At 45.6% G+C, this 21519-nt stretch overlaps 1 protein-coding gene across 11 annotated transcripts in view; it reads right to left on the reverse strand.

Annotated features, from left to right (window-relative positions):
* The window catches only part of PLXNA4 (plexin A4), a 525349-nt gene that overhangs the window by 410396 nt on the left and 93434 nt on the right, over positions 1 to 21519 (reverse strand). For 2 of the 11 annotated variants that reach the window (XM_006716171.5, XM_047421019.1), the window contains exon 2: positions 11484 to 11573. The exons of the other annotated variants lie outside the window; for them this stretch is intronic. The gene's annotated coding sequence lies outside the window, so the exon portion shown is untranslated. The remainder of the gene's footprint in view (positions 1 to 11483; positions 11574 to 21519) is intronic. 11 annotated transcript variants of the gene reach the window in all.

A 21519-nucleotide genomic window follows, 5' to 3' on the forward strand; every position in this document is an offset into this window, starting at 1 on the left:
GCTGCCAGCACCCAGCCCTTCCTCCCTTCACCGCCCATCTTGGAGCCATCACCTATCCCACACTAACCCACCTCCTTGAACAAGGCCACCTCATCCTCTCATCTTAGAACCAAGAACTCTGGTTTGGGACCACTTCCCACAGAACCAGACCCCTGTGGGGTTGCTCTAAAGGACAGAATAAGGATATTACTATTATTATTATTATTATTATTACTATTATTATGTTAACAAGTCACCAGGCAACAAAGGCAATGAGATTCAAAGACATTCCTTGGTGGCTGAGTGAAGGCTGAAGAAAGGGAAATAAAATGGTTGCTTTATGAGAACTCCCAAGGCCAGCAAAGAGGAAGAAAAGAAAAAAGGCCAGTGAAGAAGAAGCCGCAGCTTGAGTGTGTGTAGTAGTAAAGAGGAGAGGGGAACAGGAATTCACACTGAAACAGAAAGCCGGTCAGCTTCAACAAGGAGAGGATACAAGACTACTTGGCTGGAACAGGGATACCTGGTGAGAAATCCAATCAGCAATTCCAGATCTTCCCTGACTCTGCTCCAAGTCTCCCCAAGTCACCAGCCCCAGGGCCACCGCCCCTACTAACTACTTCCACCATTAGACCCCCTCCCCTCTGTGAGAGGGCCCATGAAACAGCAGCAACTTCCAAGTGAGAGGAGCCAAGTGAGAGACCTGAGGTTCCTTCCACCCCAGCCCTCCCTACCCTGGCGTCCACATATCTAAGCCTGATGCAGAGACCGAGAATCTGGCTCCAGGGGCCCTGTCCACGGGTGCCTGCCCGTGAGTGTTGTGTGTGCATAGATTCTGTAGTGGCGGAATGGGGTGAGGAGGCACAAAGAGCCTCTAGCCTGAGAGCAGCCGGGAGCTGGAGCAAATAGGATGGACACTGGGTTGGCTGGCACTCAAAGCCTTTTATTTTAGTAGTCTCCAAAAGAAGGGCTATGGAAAGAAAATACTAGAACTTCTATTTAAATCTATTTGTACCTCAAAAGACTGAAACATAACAGCTCTACTAATATTTGATATGAAGAATGGGCGCCATTACTGGGCGTGTTGAGGGGCATGGATCTTACAGGTGCCTGAGAGCAGATGGCACCATGATGCTGAGGCTGACACGGCGCCCCCATTCCTTAACCTGCCACAGTATTTAGCAAGATATGACAGTATACCTGAGCCAATTCAGGAAACTTACGATTTACTGTGTTATTTCACTTCAATAATCCAGTGTTTTAAAAACTAGGCAAGTGGCTTTAAGGCCTTCCTATCAGGAGAATATGGATAGAAAATAACACATAAATAATGCAGGCACTGGTAATCAATAAGAAAATGAAGATGTGATCCTTCCACACCTAGTATAGATCTTCATCATCCATATTACAAGCTGCAGGACCAACTTATCAGACCAGAAATCAACCCGTCTCCAAATAAAAAAGAAATCAAAACTATGAAGACTATTTTGATATCTGGATTTATGTTCACCATCATTAATGATGAACCTCCCAATGAGCGCTGATTTACTTACAGACAATGCCCAATGGATGGGGGCACATGCCAAAAACATCAGAGACCAAACGTCATTCCCCAACTTTGTTGAGGGTTCTCCTGGCTTGCAGAGGCAGAGGAGGGGCTGTGGTCTGGTTGGTGGGTTTCCATGGGAGAACAGCAAGAGGGGGCCACACTCAGGAACCTCAAGACCCAGCCCTTGGTAACGGCCTTTTGTGGCTGAGGCCAATGAGCGTATCTCCCCTCCTACCCTCTTCCTCATATCAGCTGCAGAGTTGGGGCTCCAGAGGAAAGGAAAGGGGTCCCTTGGTATTCAGGACCCTGATTCATCTCATTTACCTCGATGGCAGCCGCCCCATAGCCCACACCTCACTGTCCCACCAATTCACTAAGAAAGCCAAAAGGAAAGTGTGACCCCGAGAGAATAGAACCCAGGTCCTTTTGTTCCCAGGCTCATGCATTATACCTTGGCCAAGATCCCCTCTGCAGGCCACACAGGCAGGATCTTTTCCCGATGATTGAAAAATCAAGGCATCTTCCCCTGCACCAATAGGAGCTAATTACAGAGAACTTGCCACAGGCCAGGCACGTGGCTGAACACTTGACCCCCATCATCTCCATTAATCCCCACCACAACCCTACAAGGTAGGTCTTATTACCTATTAGACAGAGGGAAAAACTGGGGTTTACAGAGAGTAGATCATTTTAAAGGCTGCAGCCCAGACTCAAAGCCAGGCTCCAGAATCTCTGCTCCCACCTCTCTCCTGCTTCCCACAGCAATTGGGCATGCCAAACTTGGAGAAAAACTTACCTTCGTCTTATGACCTTGGACGAGTTACTCTCTGAACCTCGGACCCTCGTGCATAAAATGGGGTTATAATAGGACATACTGCATTGGGCTTTTGTGAAGATTAAATGAGTTAATAAGTGTAAATGCTTCAAACAGTGCTGCACACATAGTAGCTGCTGTATTGGTGTTTGCGGTTATTATTGCCATCATGACTGTGTTACATTGTTCTCCCTAGTAAGTTCAGTTTTTCTTCCCGTCGTTCCCTATAAGTGACTAATTTTTATCCTTTTATCCTAGTCTTGATCCTTGCAACAGACCAAGGGAGAAGTTGTGCATTACAGAGGACAAAGACTAAATTCCCCTCCCTAAGCCTACCTCCACCTCTGCATGCACCCCACTGACACATAGAGGTCTCAACAAATAGAACGACGACCTCAGTGGTGCAGAAGGAAGGAGAAGGAGGCTTCTGAACAAGGCTTCCTTCAGCCCCTGCAGGGCCCCCATGTGGCACCGCCAAGCTTCTCCTCTGAGCAAACCTGCCAGATATAGGCTGATCTACCAGGGCTCCAGACACCTGGAGATTAATTAGAAGGCCAGTCCTTGGGCAAATCAGCCCAGAGGACCAGCCACAAGGAGCTGCAGAGAGAGGCTGGTAGGCTGTAATCCTAGAGCCAGCCACGGAGCTATGCCTGGTCCAGCAGCTATGGCAGTGGCAGCAACTCATACACCACCCCTAAGCGAGGAAATGCTGCCCTAAACGTATGGCTGACTTTTACAAGTCGAAGGTCCCAACTCCAGGAAGTTAGGGCAGAAAGAGACAGTCATGAGGAAAGTATTTCTGAAGAAAAGCAGATTATTTTGAGCACGAACTGCTGAGTCCCCACTCTGTGTCAGCCTCTGCTTCTTGCCAAGGAGTGTTGCTAAGCTGATCTTCCTCCCAGGAGCATTAGGCTGATTTAAAAGATGGCAAGGAAGCAAGCAACTAGAGAAGTCCGGGAAGCCTTGAAGCGACAGGTTACGTATAAACTGCACTTGGGGGCTGCTGCCTGGAGGAGCGAGCTTTCTTTCTGGATTCTTCCAAAGGGCAGAAGCAGGGCCTGCAAGTGGAGGTCAGAAGACAGAGATCTTGATCCTGTCTGAGACCACGCCGTCCACAGGGCCAGCCTGGCAATGGGTCAAGCTACCCCAGACATATCCAGGCAGCAGCCAGGTGTCCTTTTCGTGTGCACCAGACTCCCCTCTAAGGCAGGAGGTTGGAGCAAGCAATGCCTAAAATGAGCTCTTGGCTGTGTCTGGCACCTACCAAGCACGACAAATGAAAACTTTGGTGGAATTAACAATCTAATGATAAGATTTGGTGGTTCTTTTTTGGCCTGACACAATGAAAGTAGCCTCTTAGGAAGAAGCCTTAATCCTCTAAGTCCATACATTGCCCTGAAGGGGCCATTTTCAGCACCCAAGTTCCTATTTCAAAAAAGTTAAGATGTGCTTTAAGGGCTTTAGCTAGGATTCTCTAGTTAGAGACAAACACCAGAAGCAGAACTGCAGGGTGTCTCGGGACTGAGGCACATGTGCCTGACCAGACCCGGAAGAGGGTGGGAGGCATCTACTCAACATGCTCTACTGTGCTGCATGGAAGTGGGAGTGAGGAAGGCCAGACAGGAAGAGAGAAGTGAAGCCAGGCCCTCTGAGAGTGAGGTGTCAAATTCACAATGACAGCAAAGCCTCTGGTAAGAATGGGAGCTGGGAAATTCTTAAAAAAAGAAAGTCTTTATCTAGATCAAGCCCTTCCTCAAGCCATGACCTTCTGTTGTCAATTTCATGGAGAAGTGCACGGGCAGTGGGGGCCACCACAACCCGCACGCTCAGCCTGGACACACAGCCTGGGATCATTTATCAAACCAGCAGAGGGGAAAATCCCCCAGCACAGAGCAACTCCTCTGCAAAATGTAGAGCTTCGCTGATCCTGCCCGACCCCAAACCTGCTCACATTTCAAGTCCTCCAAGAAAAGGATCAGACAATCGCTGTCCTCTCTTGCTTCCCCTTCTCCAGTCCTCCCAATGCTGCCACCCACATGGAGGAGAAATGTGTACCAGGCTTGCAGACACAGGGTGGCAGTGGAGCCCTTGCCTGCTTCCACGAGCACCTGCACCACCTTCCTCTCATGAGCCCAGAGACATGTCAGTGTCCACACAGCAGCCCAGCAAGAGAGGAAAGGAGTCCTGGTGCTCCCGAAGCGGAGACACTCGGGCCCCATGAAGTTATATGATCAGCACAAATGCACCGGCAAGGTCTTAGGCAGAGGCAGTCTGAAGCCTGGAGCATCACCAGCTTCACAGGAAGGGAATACCTGCTTCCAGGCAAGGTGAATGGAACTGAAGTGTCCCCACCGTCAGGAATTCAGACAGAGCAAGCACCAAGATTGTAAGTGAGCATTACTGCAAAAGCATTAAAGTTGGGGGCTATACCTAAGGCTGCCCTGGACTCCAGGCCTGGCTCTGTTATTTGCTCATTGTGTAAACCTTTGAAATTTCTGAATCTCTCAAACTTACTTTATCTATAAAATGGATTTCAAAAATAGAATCCATCCCTCACAACTATAAGGTGTTTAGCATCTGCCCCTGCACATGATAAGCAGTGGGTATCATATTATGGCTGGAAGCACCTTCAGGCCAGGAGAGCCAGGATGCTGTAGGCTGCTGCCGCACCCCTTGTCCATTATCTCCCGGCTTCCCACACTTTGATTCCAGCTGCTGCCATCATGACCAACCAGAGGCAGACCTTGTTCCCCTCCTAACATCCTGCCCTAAGCACGAGGGAAAGAAAATCCCTTTCCTTGGCTCCTCTTTGACCAAGTTGACATTGTGAAAAGCAGAGAATGAAAATCTGATAGTCACAGAAAACACAAACACAGTAGAAATAATTAAAGCTCCTGAATACAGGTTTCAGATCCTGTAATAACTCACATCTTCTATGACTTTTTAACATCCCAGCCCCTGCCTGTTTCCCTGTGACTGCTGCCACCCTCTCACCCTCCTTGCTCTTCTCTCTCCCTGCTACAAGGCCCCAGGACCTATTGTGCCTACTTAGGATCCTGCCTCTCCATCCCAGGGCTGTGGGACACAGGGAGTCTCAAGAGATTGACAGTGGAGTACAACCCAAGTGAGACTCTGTCCCTGCCACAAAGACCGTGCCCTGTCCAAGGCCACGTAGAGCCATACAATATCCCTTGATGAGTGTGCTGTGTGTACATGGGGAGAGGGACAGACCCTCCACCTGTCTTCCCAGAGCTCACAATACATTCCAAATTACCGGCAGTTACGAATTGGAGGGCTCCAGTCAGTGGTTCTCAAGTTGCAATTGGTCCCCAGAGCAGCAACACCTGGGAACTTATCAGAAATGTAAATCTCAGGCCTGCTTCAGACCTACAAAATCAGAAACTCTGTAGCTGGGTTCCAGCAATCTGATTTTTCCAAGCCCTCCAGGAAGCTCTGAAGCACACTGAAGTTTGAAAAGCCACTGACCTGTTATAGTCCGGCTAGCTGCACAACCTTGAGTAATACACTTAAGTCTTTCCATCTGTAAGGTGGGACCAAAACCAGTTTCATCATGTGTTAAGTGGGAATGATGATGGAACCTATTTCACAGGGTTGTTGGTTACAAAGATTAAATAAGACCCTGCATAGAATGTGCTTAGCAAATTGTAAGCACTCATAAATATTTGCTAATATTGATCTTCCTAAAAACCTAAGAGATGAGTTCTTCCACGATCACTAGGCAACTATCAAGGATCTCAGTGAAGGCTTAGAGAGTTTTTGAAAGGAATCGTTCAAGGTCACTCAGCTATCAAAGATATCTTAATAGCCATTCCCCAGAGAACAGAGCAGTGTTAACTGAAGGCAAGGTGTTAACAATGCCTTTCCTTCTCTCTGACTTGCAAAAGGTCTCCTCTGGGGCCATTTCCCTTCCCCGTGGGCATCTAGAAATGTATGGAGGCTTTGTGGTTGACTGAGTGCTCTTGGCTTTTAGGATCCAGAGGGTCAGGGATGCTCCTCTTGCACTGTGTAAGATGGCTCTGCATAATGAAGAAGCATCCTACTTACAATGCCAGTGACATCTCCACTGAGAAACACTGATCAACCCAGAGTTTCGGAGCTATCCAGAGCATGCAGCATGTCTCTGCCTAGAGAATACGCTAAACAATCACAACAATTGCTGTGGAGGGCTGGACGTCTCATGGGACACGTCTCCTGCTCAAGTCCTACTGTGGATGTTGCGAGGGCCAGCTCTCACTCTAGACATTTCATTGTCTTATTTAACATGCAATTGCTTCAAATCTCATTTAACATGCAATTGCTTCAATTGCCCTAGCTCCAATCACCCCTTCCCAAACCTGGGCTAGATCTCCAGCTCCGTGGGCCCAGGCAAACATTTTCCAACACGGTGTTAGTAGGAATTCCCCAAATTTCCCCAAAGTTCATACAGGAAATGGATGTTGGCTCAAGAGAGCAGAAGGTGTAGTGTGGACCGTTCTTTTTTTTTTTTTTTTTTTTTTTTTTTTTGAGACGGAGTCTTGCTCTGTCGCCCAGGCCGGACTGCGGACTGCAGTGGCGCAATCTCGGCTCACTGCAAGCTCCGCTTCCCGGGTTCACGCCATTCTCCTGCCTCAGCCTCCCGAGTAGCTGGGACTACAGGCGCCCGCCACCGCGCCCGGCTAATTTTTTGTATTTTTAGTAGAGACGGTGTTTCACCTTGTTAGCCAGGATGGTCTCGATCTCCTGACCTCATGATCCACCCGCCTCGGCCTCCCAAAGTGCTGGGATTACAGGCGTGAGCCACCGCGCCCGGCCTGGACCGTTCTTAAAAACTTTGTGCTATTTATTATTTGTTACTCAGAAAGGGAGACGGAGGTAAGGATGAGAGGAGAATGTTGGTACTGTTCAGAAACTTAACAATCCTGGCTGTCAAAAATGCCAGGAGTGAATGTAATCAGTAGAATCAATAAAGATTTATTTCAAAGGATTCCCAAGGAAAAAGTGCCAGACAGAGAGCCAGAGGGGAGAAAAGTAACAGCAGCACACAAAAGCATGCACGATTCACAGGTTTCCCGAAGCACTGGATGAAATGTGGCTTGGATGAAGTTGGCCATTTCCCCTAACTTAACACCTCTCTTCCCATACATAGCCCCTTTCCCTAGAGACTCCTACCTAGTGCTTTCACCAGCTTCCCCCTCCCCATAAGAGTAGCAACTGACTGTGCTAAAATGTTCCTTGCCCCACAAACCATTAAGCTGTCAAGCTGAGTTGGTGAACAAACCCAGAGAGAGCCGGTGCTGCTGGAATGCTAACGGTGAAAACCGCAATTATTCTTTCTGCTCTGGACAATTCCTGCTTCAACTTTACTGGCCCCAGGTCATATTTTGTGATCTTTGGATGCTGATGGAAGAGAGACGGCTTGATAGAGAAAATAACCAGGGAGATTATGTCTTGATAGAGATGGAAGTAACTAGTAGAGGTTTTTTCGTTGTTTTCCTTTTGACATCCACATAGGTGTCATATAATGGCTTCTGGTTATAAAGCCCCCTATCCAAAGGAAAAACAACTTCTCCATAAATACCTTGCCCACGTCAGTGAAATAGCTGTGTTACACACTTGAGCACCATTTTCGAGGACACTTTAAATAGAGCATGGGTTGCTGCTTTCAATTTAACGTGTGAACAGGAGCTGCTAAGGCAGGCAGAGATGATAAGTTGTGGGGATGGGCTCAGTTTCCATTGGTGCATCTGCTCAGATTCTAACAGATCCGCAGGCATTTAAGGCATCTCAGGGACAAGCCAGGTAAGCCACGTGAGAGACTCACTCAACAAATGAATGAACACCTACTATGCATGAGTAAAACCAGATGCGAATCACTTCCTCTAGATGAAATGGGCTTTACATACAAATTATAACAGTTCCAGGAAAATCTAATATATGTTTAGAAGAAGAGGTGCTTTAAAAAAAATGAAATAGGTGGTACATGACAGGTAAAATACTAGACAAGTTCAGAGGAGAGGTGGGTGGTCTCTGTGTTTTCTTGTGTAACAACCTCTACTGAGTTTTATGAGAATTAAAAGAAATAATACATGACTGGTGCCCAGGACAGTGCCTGGAACTAAGTAAGCACTTGATAATGATAGCAGTAGTCAAACAAGTAGGATTAATATGGTTGACATTAAGTTTTTACTGATAATTTTAATTATAAATCCAGTTGGAGGTAAAGACAGGAGGATTATCAGATAAAGCTTGGTAAATAATGGGTAACATCTGGACAGATGAAGATGAGGGCGTGGGGGAATAGTATAGGCCAAGGTACAGATGCAAGAAAATTAAAGACTTGCTCAGGAAATAACAAATACTACAATGTGTCTTCAATTTTCTATGTTTGTACTGTGACAGGTCTGAATGTAGATTTCTTATTTAACCTGCTTAGAGTTTACAGACCTTCTTGAATCTCTGTATTGATATTTTCTCCTTGTTTTAGAAAATTCATAGCCATTACCTCTTCAAATAATACTTCTTCATTTTTTTTCTTTCTTTGTAGAAATCCAATTAGATAGATAAGACTATTCTCACTGTATCCTCGATGTCTCTTACCTAAGTTTTCTGTATTTATTATACTTCATTTTGGATGATTTCATTTGCCCACTGCCCTACTTCATTAATTATCTCTTCAGCTATTTCTAAATTATTTAAAATACATCCATTGAATTCTTAATTTCAGTTGCTGTATTTTTTCAGTTCCAGGATTTCTTTTTGGTTCTTGTTTGAAATCTACTATGTCATTTTTATAGTTTCTAGTTTGCTGCCAAAACTTGTAATCTTGTCTTATTTCTACTTGAAAAATAGTAAGCATGGTTATTTTAAATCCATGGTCTGATAATTGCACTGGAAATTATCCAGGAAACCTGTGAGTCTATTATTTCTGCTGGTTCTCGGTCATGTTGACTTATTTCCTTGTGTGTCAGCTTATCTTTGATTACATGCTGGACATTGTATTCAAAGATTTATTTGTAGAAATAATACAATGACTAGGATAAGGTATCTTCCTCCAGATAGTATTGTTTGCTTCTACCAGGTAACTGACTTGCAACATAGTGTAACATTAATCCCATTTCAGAAATTGTCATTTTTCTTAGCTACTCAAGGGATTCAAAGCCTGACTTCACAACTTGCAAAGGCTGGTTTACTTGTAGTTCCAACCCAAAATGTTCCCATGCTTAATAGGCCCTGGACTCCAGCTTGTGTCCTGTAATGCCCTGATGCTGTCAAATGCATTGCTTAGACCCTCGGCTGCCTCTTTAGAAGCCAGCAAAAGTCTAATCCCTCTGATTAGTTAACCTCTTGATTTCCAGCTTCTTCCAAAATTTGGCCCTATCAATATTTACCACCTTACTAGCTTTCATATGTCTTCAAGCATGCTTTTGAAAATATCTTCTCCACTTTCTGAATTTTTATCAGTAGGAAGGTCAGTCAATTGAATTAGCTAGTCTGCCTTTACTAGAAGCAAAAACCTCCCAGCTGGTATTTGATTTGACTGGAACATTGGATTTACTTTTGGGAGGAAATAAAAGATAAACCCAAACAATAGGCCAGTTCCAAAACATGGATAAACTTGAATGCTAGGCTAAAAAGGAAGGATCTTTAATAAGCGATGGGGAGCCATTGAAGATTCTCAAGCAAAGGAGTTCTCCTTGGGAGCTATACTTGAGGAAGATGAATTGGACACTTACGTGCCAAACTGATTAGAGGGGCATGAGACCAAAATCAGGAAGGAGAGTTGACTCCTTTTATCAAACTTTCAGAGAAGAAGGCAAACTATCTGAGCTAGGGCTATGGTGGTGGCAACACTAGGAAGACAGAGACAGATGGGAAGTACAGGGTTATTTCATGAGTGAGGCACACCAACTAGAAGATGGTAACAGAAATCAGAATATGGAAAGAAAACCAGATGAAGGACAGAGGGAGAAAAGTAAAATGATATGATTTGCCCATTAACTGAGAGTGGGATTGAAAGAGAAAGAAGAATCAAAGATGATATTGAGGTTTTGAACATGGGTAGCTCAGACAAGGGAAAGAGATTATGAGGGCTAAGCCACAACCCACCCATCCTCTTTTTAGTCATGAGACAGCTCAAAGAAAAGATCTGTTTCAAGTAAGTGACAGTGGCCACTCTCCAACCCAAAACCCTCCCAGAGGAGAGATGATTTCATATGAGAATAGAGAACCTACCCATGGTGTCACTACAATCAGGCAGGTGGGACAACCTCTTGGAGAGTCAGAGAGCAACCCATTTTGTGATATTAGAGATTCTCTAAGTGAAATTGGCTGACAGCACAATTCCCGTTTTGGGGAAGGAGAAAGCTCCCAGAGCCACTTGTTAGTAACAGAGGTCCTGGAGCATTGGATTACAAGCCAGGAAGTTCCATAGAAAAGAAGGAGCACACAGAAATAGACTTAAGTGTGCAGAGGGTGAGGGGGGCACACCCTGTCACTATGTGACAGGTGATCCATGGGGGCTTCTAGGATTCTCACTATTGGTTCTACTGAGTGATGAAAAGGTGCCCATTAGGGTTAACTTCCCAGGTTTTTAGGTAGGGTCCGAATGGAGTGGAAATGTAAACCTTTAAATAATTATGGCTTTCTTGGCCTAGATGTCTGTCATGCACTACAGATATTTTTTCCTCCCTTCCATGTGTATGAGTGAATATCAAAAGTAGGTACCTGTAAAAAATAAAAATAGAAAACTTTCACTTTCATTGCAAAGATCTTGGAGATGAAATAAAATAAAAGTAAAATGTAACTTGGGAAAGGGCTATATAAATTTCACAAATAAATGACTGAGGTTGACATTGATCTGAACTGGACCTGTGCTACAATAGAGGGGACTAGTACAGCCACACCAGGCAAAGCTCTCCACACAACCTGTTTGCTTTTCATTTTCTTATTGTCTACACCAAATCAATAAGATCTGCAAAAAGCAAATGTAGCAAATGTATTTTTTTTCTCCCTATTCTGTACCAGGACTCCTCTCCGGCTTCAGACCTGGAATTTAACAGGATGACCACCCCTCCCCCAGTGTCCTCTGTGCTCCTATTGTCTGCCCCAAGAAAGCTCCTACTAATTCTCTCAAAAGGACCTTACCTCCTGCAGTTACTTCACATGCTCCTGTGGGCAGCTTTAATTTATCCCAGTGGAAGTCAAGATGTAGGTTTGTGTAGAGGCCTGGGAAACCTATCAAAGGAGAATGAGGTTGAACAAAAACATCCCAGGGATAGACTCTCAGCTCCCTGTGGGTTGGGCCATGTTTGCCACTCACACTGAACCCCCAGCACCTGGCACAATACCTAGCTCATAAAAAAACACACTATAAATACTTGTTGAATTGTTGAACTGAGAGAGCTGGGATGAGAAAAACAAGCCAGGCATCACTTTCTTGTCAAATAATCCTTGTACATTTGCCACCCAAAGGCAGGGCAATGGGTTGACCCAAGGTTTTTCTTTCATGAAACAGCCCCAAAGAGAATCCTCCCTATAAATGTGCTCATTTTTTCTCTCCAAATGCCTTTATTCCAGAAGAAAGCAAAACAGTGAGTGGATGACTTTCATTTGTTTTTTGCAGGAAAAGAAAAAAAAAATGAGGATTAAGAAAATTTGGAACTAAGGTGTTAAGAAGTGTAATAGGGTAGAGGAGGCTAAGAAAAACCAGTGTTGCTGTAGTAGGGAGAGGTTTGACTGACTGACTGACACCATCCACCACAAAGTCATCAGGCACCTGCGGGCCTGGACCCTGCAGGAGGTGGCTGGGTGTATTCCTGCTGACTGATAGGATAACTATGCACATTCAAGGCTAAGAAGAGGACCAGCAGTTGCCAACCAACCCCCAAAACTGACCAGTGCTGAGTAGTCAGTCACCTTTGATAACCACAATCATCATTAGTGAGTCCAACAGGGGACTGGCTTTAACACCAACCCAAATGCTCAGAAGGGTGCATTTGACTAGCTTGACCTACATCTGGTTCCCCTCTGTGATGTTTTGGCCATCACCCAAGTACTTGGGATCTTTGTCTCTAGCTAGAGCTTCAGGAATAGTAGCTCACCTACTCCTAAAACTAATCTTCAGAATGAAAAACAATGGCAGCACTGCAGAAAAAGGGCTAGGATGTGGAAATGCAGGAATAGATGCTTCCAGGACCACAAAAAATGCAGCATCTAAGAAAGGACAAGTATTAGGGATCCCTTTCATATGGTCTTGATCTTCCCTCCTGCTTTGACAGTTTTAGTGGGTTAAATATGCTACCCTGTTGGGAGGTAGGAACTGAGAGACTAAAAATCCCAATGCACCAGTAAAATTTTTTTAAGTCCAGAGAAAGTAGAACTCTGGTGAAAGCCATTTGTAAGCATATCTCCAGAATCTAATATATCTGTGTGGCCAAAAACAGTGGGCACTGTTAATTCACAACCAGACACTCACTGAGACTCAGGAACAGAAGGGGGCAGGTGCTGGTAATCCCTTGAGTGCTAAGCTTTTTTAATAATACACTGGAGAGCAGAGGGGAGAAGAAACAGCATTAATGGAAATGATTGAAACAAATGCCCCACTAGTGGACAGTGATCTTGTTTTGGGCTTACAAAACTGATTGATTATCAGATCCACCTTAAGCCTCCCTTTTGAGAAGGTTCTCCATCCCCACCCTTGCTCCTAACACCCTTGTCGATTCTGGTTACATCAGTCTGGAACAAGGGCAGGGACTTTGTAACTTTCAAAAGTTCCTCAGGTGAATCTGAGGACAAACAAGGCTTAGGAATCATGGGTCCAACCCATGAGATTCACAAAATGAAAATATGCAAGTCAAATGCCAAACTGGCCCATCTGGTTTCACTATTCCAGGAAAGGGAGCCCAAAAGGATGCTAATTTGTTACAAGTGGCCTGAAAAATACATCTATGTTTTAAATACTTCCTCTCTTGAAATAGTAAACTGAATTACAGCAAGCTAGCTCCATGGTGATATTTTCCCTGATTCCAGTTCACAGAGAGAATTTAAAGTGAAAAATCCTTTTCAAAAGGAAGATACAATAGGCTGTGCTCTTCAATGATGCTTGCTCTGGGCCCAGTACTGATGCTGACCACTTCACACACGTCATCTCACGTAATCTGTAAGGAAGGCATCATCACCCCCATCTTACAAATGAAGTCACTGTCTCAGGGAGATTTAAGTACATTTGCCCAAACTACAAACTGGTGGGATGTGAATTGAACTTTAATCTGATTTCGGAGTCTTTACCTTGAAGTCTATACAGTATGTTGCTTTCTTAAACCCCCCCACACCTACATCTCTGCTTCAGTTTCTAGGTCTTTGTATGTCACTTAACAAGCATCCCCTCCATGCCAATGTGGTTGCACCCATTTCTTCGCTAGGGTGCTCCTGAATGCATGCAGGCATGGGTAAGTGTATAGTGAGTAGTAGGAGTCAAGACAAGAGGCTGGGAGCTGTCTGGGGCTCCTCCTGGGATCTCCTGGTGGGGTGCAGAACTATTCCAGGGATTCCAACTCTGGCCTACTGTACAGAAGAATCAAGGGACAGACATTCCAACAGCCAGGCAAACCAGAACCACAGAGAAAACAGGGAGGCAGTCAAAGCCATCAGGACCCCACAAATATACCCACCAGGAGAATCAAATCAGGGTCTGCGGAGGCAACAAGAGAGTTTGTTGGTGGCCTAGATTTTTACTCTTTGGACCACTCTGTATTTCAGCTTCACGCAGCAGCTTGCAAAAGAGCCCTGGGGATGGCAAGAAAGCAGAAAGCACCTCTCTTTGTAGCCACAACTACAGATCCCAAGACCACTATGACCAAATTAGGACAGAAAGCCTTCAGTGACGCACACACAGGCCCTGGGGAGTCTGAACACGAGTAGATCTAATGCTGTTGAACAAAACGTGAAACCGAAGAAAACACCCAGCCACACAGAGCCCTTTGAATTGGTGGCTTCACTCCAGGGCTGCAAGTGGGGAGAGAGTGAAAAGAGACAAAGCCTGGCTTTGGAAAGTCTCAAAAGAGTTTCTAGGAATGCCACGTCCCAAATCCTGTGGGGTTTGTGAGGGGTTTGGAGAGTCCTGCTTGTTGAAAAGCACTTAGTTGTCATAGTAGAAAGTGGAGTTCTAGACTCCCCTAGCCCTCATTACAAATCAATGAGTAGAGTTTAATTCTAATTGTGAGATGACTGAGAAAGGATTTTTATGATAAGCAGATGAGGCTAGGGCAATTTCAAGTGCAAGTAAGGTCTTTATTTATTGGCTTTTTAAAAAATGTCCCACCATTTTGTATGTATTTGGGGGTTTTGCTTGTGGAGAGAGCCCAGGAGTGGGACATGGAGGTAGACAACACTGATAACAGTGAGAGACGCTGCCAGGCAGTCTGAGTTCTCTGTTCCTAGCCCTGGGCCAAGAGAAATGTGCTCTGACCCAAGGTTAGGCATGTTCTCACCCAAGACCAAGACCAAGGATTCTCCTAAACATTCCAATAAATACCCAACGTAGCTTTTAAACCTTAATCTGTTATTTCCTAGTTTGCAGAGTAAAATATACCCTGTCAGAAGTGTTTGAACCAGAGTGACTCCATCTTGAATAGGGGATGGGTAAAATGAGGCTGAGTCCTACTGGGCTACATTCCCAGAAGGTTAGGCATTCTTAGTCACAGGATGAGATATGGGTTGGCACAAGATACAGGTCATAAAGACCTTGCTGATAAAACAGGATGTGGTGAAGAAGCTGGCCAAAACTCACCAAAACCAAGACGGTGATGAAAGTGACCTCGGGTCGTCCCCACTGCTCATTATATGCTAATTATAATACAGTATCATGGTAAAAGACACTCAGGCCAGCACCATGACAGTTTACAAATGCCATGGCAACATCCACAAGTTTCCCTATATGGTCTAAAAAATGGAGGAACCCTCAGTTCTGGGAAATCTCTGCCCCTTTTCTGGAAATCTCATGAATAATCCACCCCTCGTTTAGCATATAATCCAGAAACAACTGTAAGTATACTCCATCAAGCAGCTCATCCTGCTGCTCTGCCTATGGAGTAGCCATTTTTTTACTCCTTTACTTTCTTAATAAACTTGCGTTTGCTTTACTTTATGGACTTGCCCTGAATTCTTTTCTTGTGTGAGGTCCAAGAAAACTCTGTTGGGGTCTGGATCAGGATGCTTTTCTGGTAAGGCCCCTATCATCATCCCACCTAAGAAAACAGGAATCCCAGGGAACCTAATTTCCCCTCGTACAAAATATTTATTAACTACTCACACCCTTGAGGTGTCTTGGTAGGAACTGAACCACTTAGTTCAGACATTGGAAGTGATTCCAAACTTGGCTACTCATGAGAATCACCTAGGGAACTTAAAAAAAATCCTGGGTCCCAACCCTGGTGATGCTGACACATTTGGGCCCTCCCAAGATTTTTGAAAGCTGGAACCATCAATGCAGGAAAAACCTTAAAAGTGAGTGGACCCTAAAATCTTCCTGGGGGCAGATTTCCGTGCTTCTGGGAGGGTCATTTCCCTGAGTCATTACCCTCCTTAGTGTTCTGGAAAATGGCAAAGTACATCAAATGCAGGGAGGATTCCTCAGCAGTCATGACAATTGCTATTTGGGTTAAGTTACTGCTACATCTTTAATATTCCCTTGGGGTGAGTTGTTTGTTTGTTTGTTTGTTTGGGGAGCAGCATGGGGGCTAGGATTTTTTTCTTAAAATGACTTTAGAATGCTCAGCTTATTTTTGTGGATGGGCAGACAAGTTATAATTCAAACCACAGTTTGAACATTAGGTAGAGAGAGGTAGAGTTATAGTTTGAAAATTAGGCAGAAGAAGACAGCACAGGTGGGTGAGATCCTCACTTTACAAGAAGGTGGAGGCTGAGCCCAGGATCCAGTTGCAGTTTGGAGCACCAACCCAGACTTTGGGGTTGGAACCTTGTTCTGCTGTGGCTGTTCTGTGGGTTCTATAAGGCTAGGGCTATACCCCACCTGCTGCCCAAGGGTAAGGTTTACCCTGAAGGAAGTGAACGTTCCCTAGGAAGACAATGAAGGCTGGAATGTGGGTCTTCATTGCAACTCAGAGTACCCCTGACCCCCACAGCATGGTGGTGAGCCTGCCCTTCCTCTAGGGAGCAGGATGCCCAGGAGTGGGGCATGAGGCACCCACAAGTGAGGACAGGTCTAAGCCTGGAGATGCCTACAGTGGCTACCTTTTGAAGAAGTGTTAAGTTACTCTCTGTGTTTCCTTTATTACCCTTGATCCATCAAAAAAAGTTGTATTCAGACATACAGCCTGATCTCTTTGTGCTGGAAGGAATCTGGGGAAGGACCTCTTCCAGGCTAGGATTAACAGGGAGAATAGCAATGAGAGGGAGGGGTCAGCATTTCTTCAGCTGCAGGAGGCAATTAGTAGACACTTAAAGAGGATCTGAGCACAGCTCAGCTAATTTAAAAAATCAGCATAATTTGAGTTTTAACCAAAATATGACTTTATTTTGTATTTGCAAGGCACCAAGGTCTGCTATACACAATTAACCTCCCCTGTCCTCCCCTCCCTCAAGGCTTCTGTCTGACAGACTCAGCGGGAGGAGGAAAGGAAGAGTCCAGCTCCTCTGCTGCTGATGACCCTAATAGTCCTCCTACCCCACTGGGCTGCAATGACCACATCTGCACCTATAGTCCCTCATCCAATTTGGGACTTATTGCAGTGCAGACCTTAATCCTGGTCTCTCCCTGACCTCCTGGCCACTCACACACCCAGTATATCTCCATGCTGTCCCATAGACACTTCAAACCCAGCTCCTCAAAAACAAGCCCCACCTCTTCCTTCTCCTGCATTCTCTCCCTTTGCTAGAGCACAAGCACCCACTCGGTCCTCCGTGCCCCTCAGCTGCCTCATCTAATTCTCACCAAGACCCACTTCTGGGCCTCTGCCTTCCCTTCCACTTAGTACCTCAGGCCCAGTCCTCATCATTTCTCCCTTGGACCACAGCAGCAGCCTCCTGACAATTCCCCAACACTCAAAGTGCAGTCCTGGCATGCCGAACTTGGAGACAGCGAGCTTAGGTGCACACCCAGGTCCCCAGAGCACTCAGCAGCTTTCTTCACACATTTTCTCTTCCCTTCTCTCTTGACCAGATACAGAAGAGCCAGTGGGAAATTGAGAAGCCCTTAACAGGATGGTGGAGCCACAACATGGAAGGAACCTGGGCTCCTGAATGACTGTATGGAGCAAAATCCCCCCACATACTAACCCATATTGAACTGTGGTGGTTTGTTACAGAATTAACCAGCCATGATTAATAGTGAGCAACTCAAGAACAAAAAGAACAAACCTATAATAGAAAAGCAATGCTTTTCCATTCACAAACCTTTCATTACAAAATGCCGGTCGTGTCCTACAGCCAGAGTAGTGAGTATACCTCGCTGGAGGCTGCAAGGGCCAGCCAGTCCCCATACACAATCAGAGCTCTCTGCAAAAGACGTAATACCACCAGCCCTGTACTGTACTCTCTCAATTGCCCTCTAGTTTCCCCACCCCAATATTGCAGTGTCTATGATCACTGAAGGAAAATGAAATATGATTCTAGGTGTCACCTTTCAAAGGGTGTTAGTGACTGTCAGCTAAAGTGATTTAAGCCCCGGAAAAACCTCTGTGTCCTTTTAACATCCAAAACTAATCCTCTTCACACCAGACATCGATGTTAAATAAACAGAGATTTCCATTAACCTACACCTCTGTACATCTATTTTTAAAAAGCGGTGTCACTCTCCTTTAAATGAACATACTAATTAGTGTATTAATAAATAGCTGAATGGAATCAATGAGACATGTAATCAAGGTCTGACCAGGAGTCAGGGCCAGGTTGAAGGGGGTGGGGGGAAGGAGAGGAGGGAAAAGAATCTTATTAGCAGGTTTGCTGAGGAGGGACATGTAAAATCAATGCTGCACATGCAGCCAAGATGCAGCCGAAGTTGACAGTAGATGGAAAGCTAAGTGCTTGCTCCGCCTCCTTCCTTTGACAGGAAAGCTCCCGGTGAGAGTTAATGTGATGAGCAAGGAAGACATTAATTGGGGCAGGAAAAGCCATTCAGAGATGGTGTCCAGGATCACAGCTGGCAGAGTTACCCAGAACCTCAGTGCTAAAGCCCTGACTCCTAGACCTTGTTTTAAAACACTAAGAAAGAACACACTTACGAGAGTTGATTTAGTTCTCAGCAAACACTTGGTCAAAAAGAAGTCACAGGGGGAGTTATTTGTTTGGGGCTCTTTGTTACTCTTACCCCCCTTCAAAAATTCTGGTTCACAAGCAGTAGCTGGAAGTACCTTTGCCCCAAGATGCTAGGCACTGGGAAATGAAGGGCCTGGATTCTCTACAGGCAGCCCTGGGGGTGGGAATGGGGCAGCCCGCTTCTTCATCAGCTCCCAATTTCCTGTAGCACACCCCATAGCTAGAAGGCTCTGGAAGGTGAGAATAAAAAGTCCTTCTGCAAGTGTGAGGTTTCCAGCTGAAGTGGTATCTGATTACCCGAGCCGCTGCTCACTGGATCTCAAATTAGCACTGATACTCCATTTTCTTCATCTGGAGACACACCCCCTTTGGGCCACAAAACACTGGACAGAAGAAAAGTGGACTTTCATTTCCCTAAAGATTAATATCAGGAGAAATGCCTTTCTGTATAAAATCAATTAGGTGCCTGAGACCCTCACCCCAAAGCCAGCTCAGTGATGCTAGTTGAAGTAGAAGTTGTGTTAGGATAAAAGAAACTCAAAAAAAAAAATTTGCCTTGGGGCCAGTACTGCCCATTACAAGCCCTCTTAGGGGTGATTCTGCCAGGAGGCAGGGGATTGGCTTGTTAGCAGTTAGAATGCTTGGCTCAGGATTCTGGGGTGCTATGGGCTCCCATGCCATGAAACTGAAGTTCTTCCTAATTCTGGTTGCTGGAAAAGCCAGTATCTCTGGGTGGACCTCACAGGCAGAAAACCTGCTGCTCTGAATGCCTAGCTCTGGCACGGCATCCACACATGGATGATCTAGAAGCCTTGCAGATGCGTCCTGAGATATGTTTCTGCCAGCCCCAGGCATGGCCTGCAACCTGCTCACCCTGAGGTCAGCATTTCCTGGAATGACAGGGAGGACACACATAAAGGAAGTGTGGGGACATGGCAGGAGGCAGCTCTCAGCAGCCCTTAGGCTATTTTCCACATTACTGCGAATGGTATTTTGCCCCCAGGAGGTTCATAACAGTCAGAAGGATCTCCAGGTTCCCCAGACCCATCAGAAAAGCCAAGGGGTGATGGTCATCAGCCCAGGGGGAGAGCTTCCTGACAGGGTACATGAAAATTAAGTGCAAAAGAGGGGCCAGAGACAGCTGTCCCCCAGCTCAATCTGAAGCACAGGCACCTAGAGAATGGCCACACATAGGACCTTCCCATCTGGTTTGAGAGGTCCTAGCAAAGCACCCCTGCACCAGTCCATATCTTACTCCCTCCATTGACGTGCTAAAAGTCTGCCACTGGAACATGGTTTCTTTGGGTCAAGCATCATGCTTTCTCTTTCAACAACCTACACCTTAGTGTACCTCCTCCATCACCTCTGTTTTTCTGTGGCCCAAGGATAAACAGAAGAGAGTGGAGAGGGTGCAAACAGCAGGGTCCCCACTGATCTACATGGCTATTTGCTGAGAATTAGGGAGTGCTGTCCTCTCTGGTTGACCAGAACTTGGTAAACAGAAGGCATCTTGGGGGAAGAAAAGGGCAACTCTTCCTGAGCAAAGAGATACACCAAGCCTTGGCCAATAAAACATGAGCAGAATTTCAGCCCTTATTTGCTCCCAGCTCACAGGTATACACACTACAGTGTATATCACCAAAAGCCCTGTCTAAAGAAAGAAAGAGAGAAATAGAGAGGAGATACCCAAGTACTTGGGGCAAAATTCAACTATTTCTCAATTTTGCCCAAGGATACCCATTTGGAGATAGATATAGATATAGATACATGACTATTTTCAAACCAAAAATATCAGGACACACACTCAAGCAATGGCACAGAATATCTGAAACACAGGCTGTTCTAGTGAACACAGGGCCTGTGGTCACTGTAGAAGGGCTGAAGAGTAGAGGATGGCAGTGACAAGGACCCTGGGGGGACAGTGTGACAATGAGGTGCCCCTTTTCCTTTAGGGGACAGAGAAGCAATGGCAAATCTCCCCATGGTGTGCTATGTGGTGGAAAGACCACCTCCACAAGACCAGAGCCGGACTCTCTGCTCACAGATGTCCCATCACCTTCAAAATACACTGACACACTCCGTTTCCAGAGTCTCCAAGCTTTTGTTCCCTCTCCACAGGGGCAAATCACCTTTCTCCACAGTCAACCAGTGGTTCTTTCCTCTCTCAGCCCGAGTGTTGCTGGGAATAATGCAATGTTTCCAGCTTAATCGTTTGTCATCATGCAGAGATTTCACTGATTTCAAAGCTAAGGTGCCTGGAAGAATCGAGCACGCTCTGAACCAGGGTGCCTCAGGGCAGAGGGTTCTCACTGGCTGGCTGGCTTTACACAGGAGAATCCCAGAGGCCCTTACTCACCAGTTTAAGGCTATCTTTCCAGGAAACCAGGGCCTGGGGCTGAAGACAGCTGAGATGGGCAGTGTTCATAAATATCACCTATTGGAGGCAAGTGAGGACATCCAAGTATGCAAACACCATGTACACTGAACACACCTCTCTGGTCTCTGATGGACCACTTCAGCTTTCTGACTTCGTTGCAGGCAAACATTAGCAGATGCCCCATCCTGCAATGCTTGGCATAATTATCAGGTAGGCTCCAGGCAATAATTACTCACTAATGGTTAGCCACTGCTTTGAGCCAAGAGTCTCCTATCTGCTCTCCCTACACCAAATTCAGAGTCTTGGGTGGTAAACCTGAAGGAAAAAAAAAAACAAAAAAAAAACAGTAACCATCACCATGGCCTGGCAAAAAAACCACATTATCTAAGATATCACTCCAGGTCCTATAAAAATAACGTATGTTTACATGTGGATGGCTGATCTGAGCACAGATTGAATATATAAACGTGGCTGTTAATTCTAGACTCTGAGAAAATTCTGAGTCTTCCAAAAATAAAGGAATCCCTACAA

The sequence above is a fragment of the Homo sapiens genome, chromosome 7, assembly GCF_000001405.40.
Source record: "Homo sapiens chromosome 7, GRCh38.p14 Primary Assembly".
NCBI lineage: Eukaryota > Metazoa > Chordata > Mammalia > Primates > Hominidae > Homo > Homo sapiens.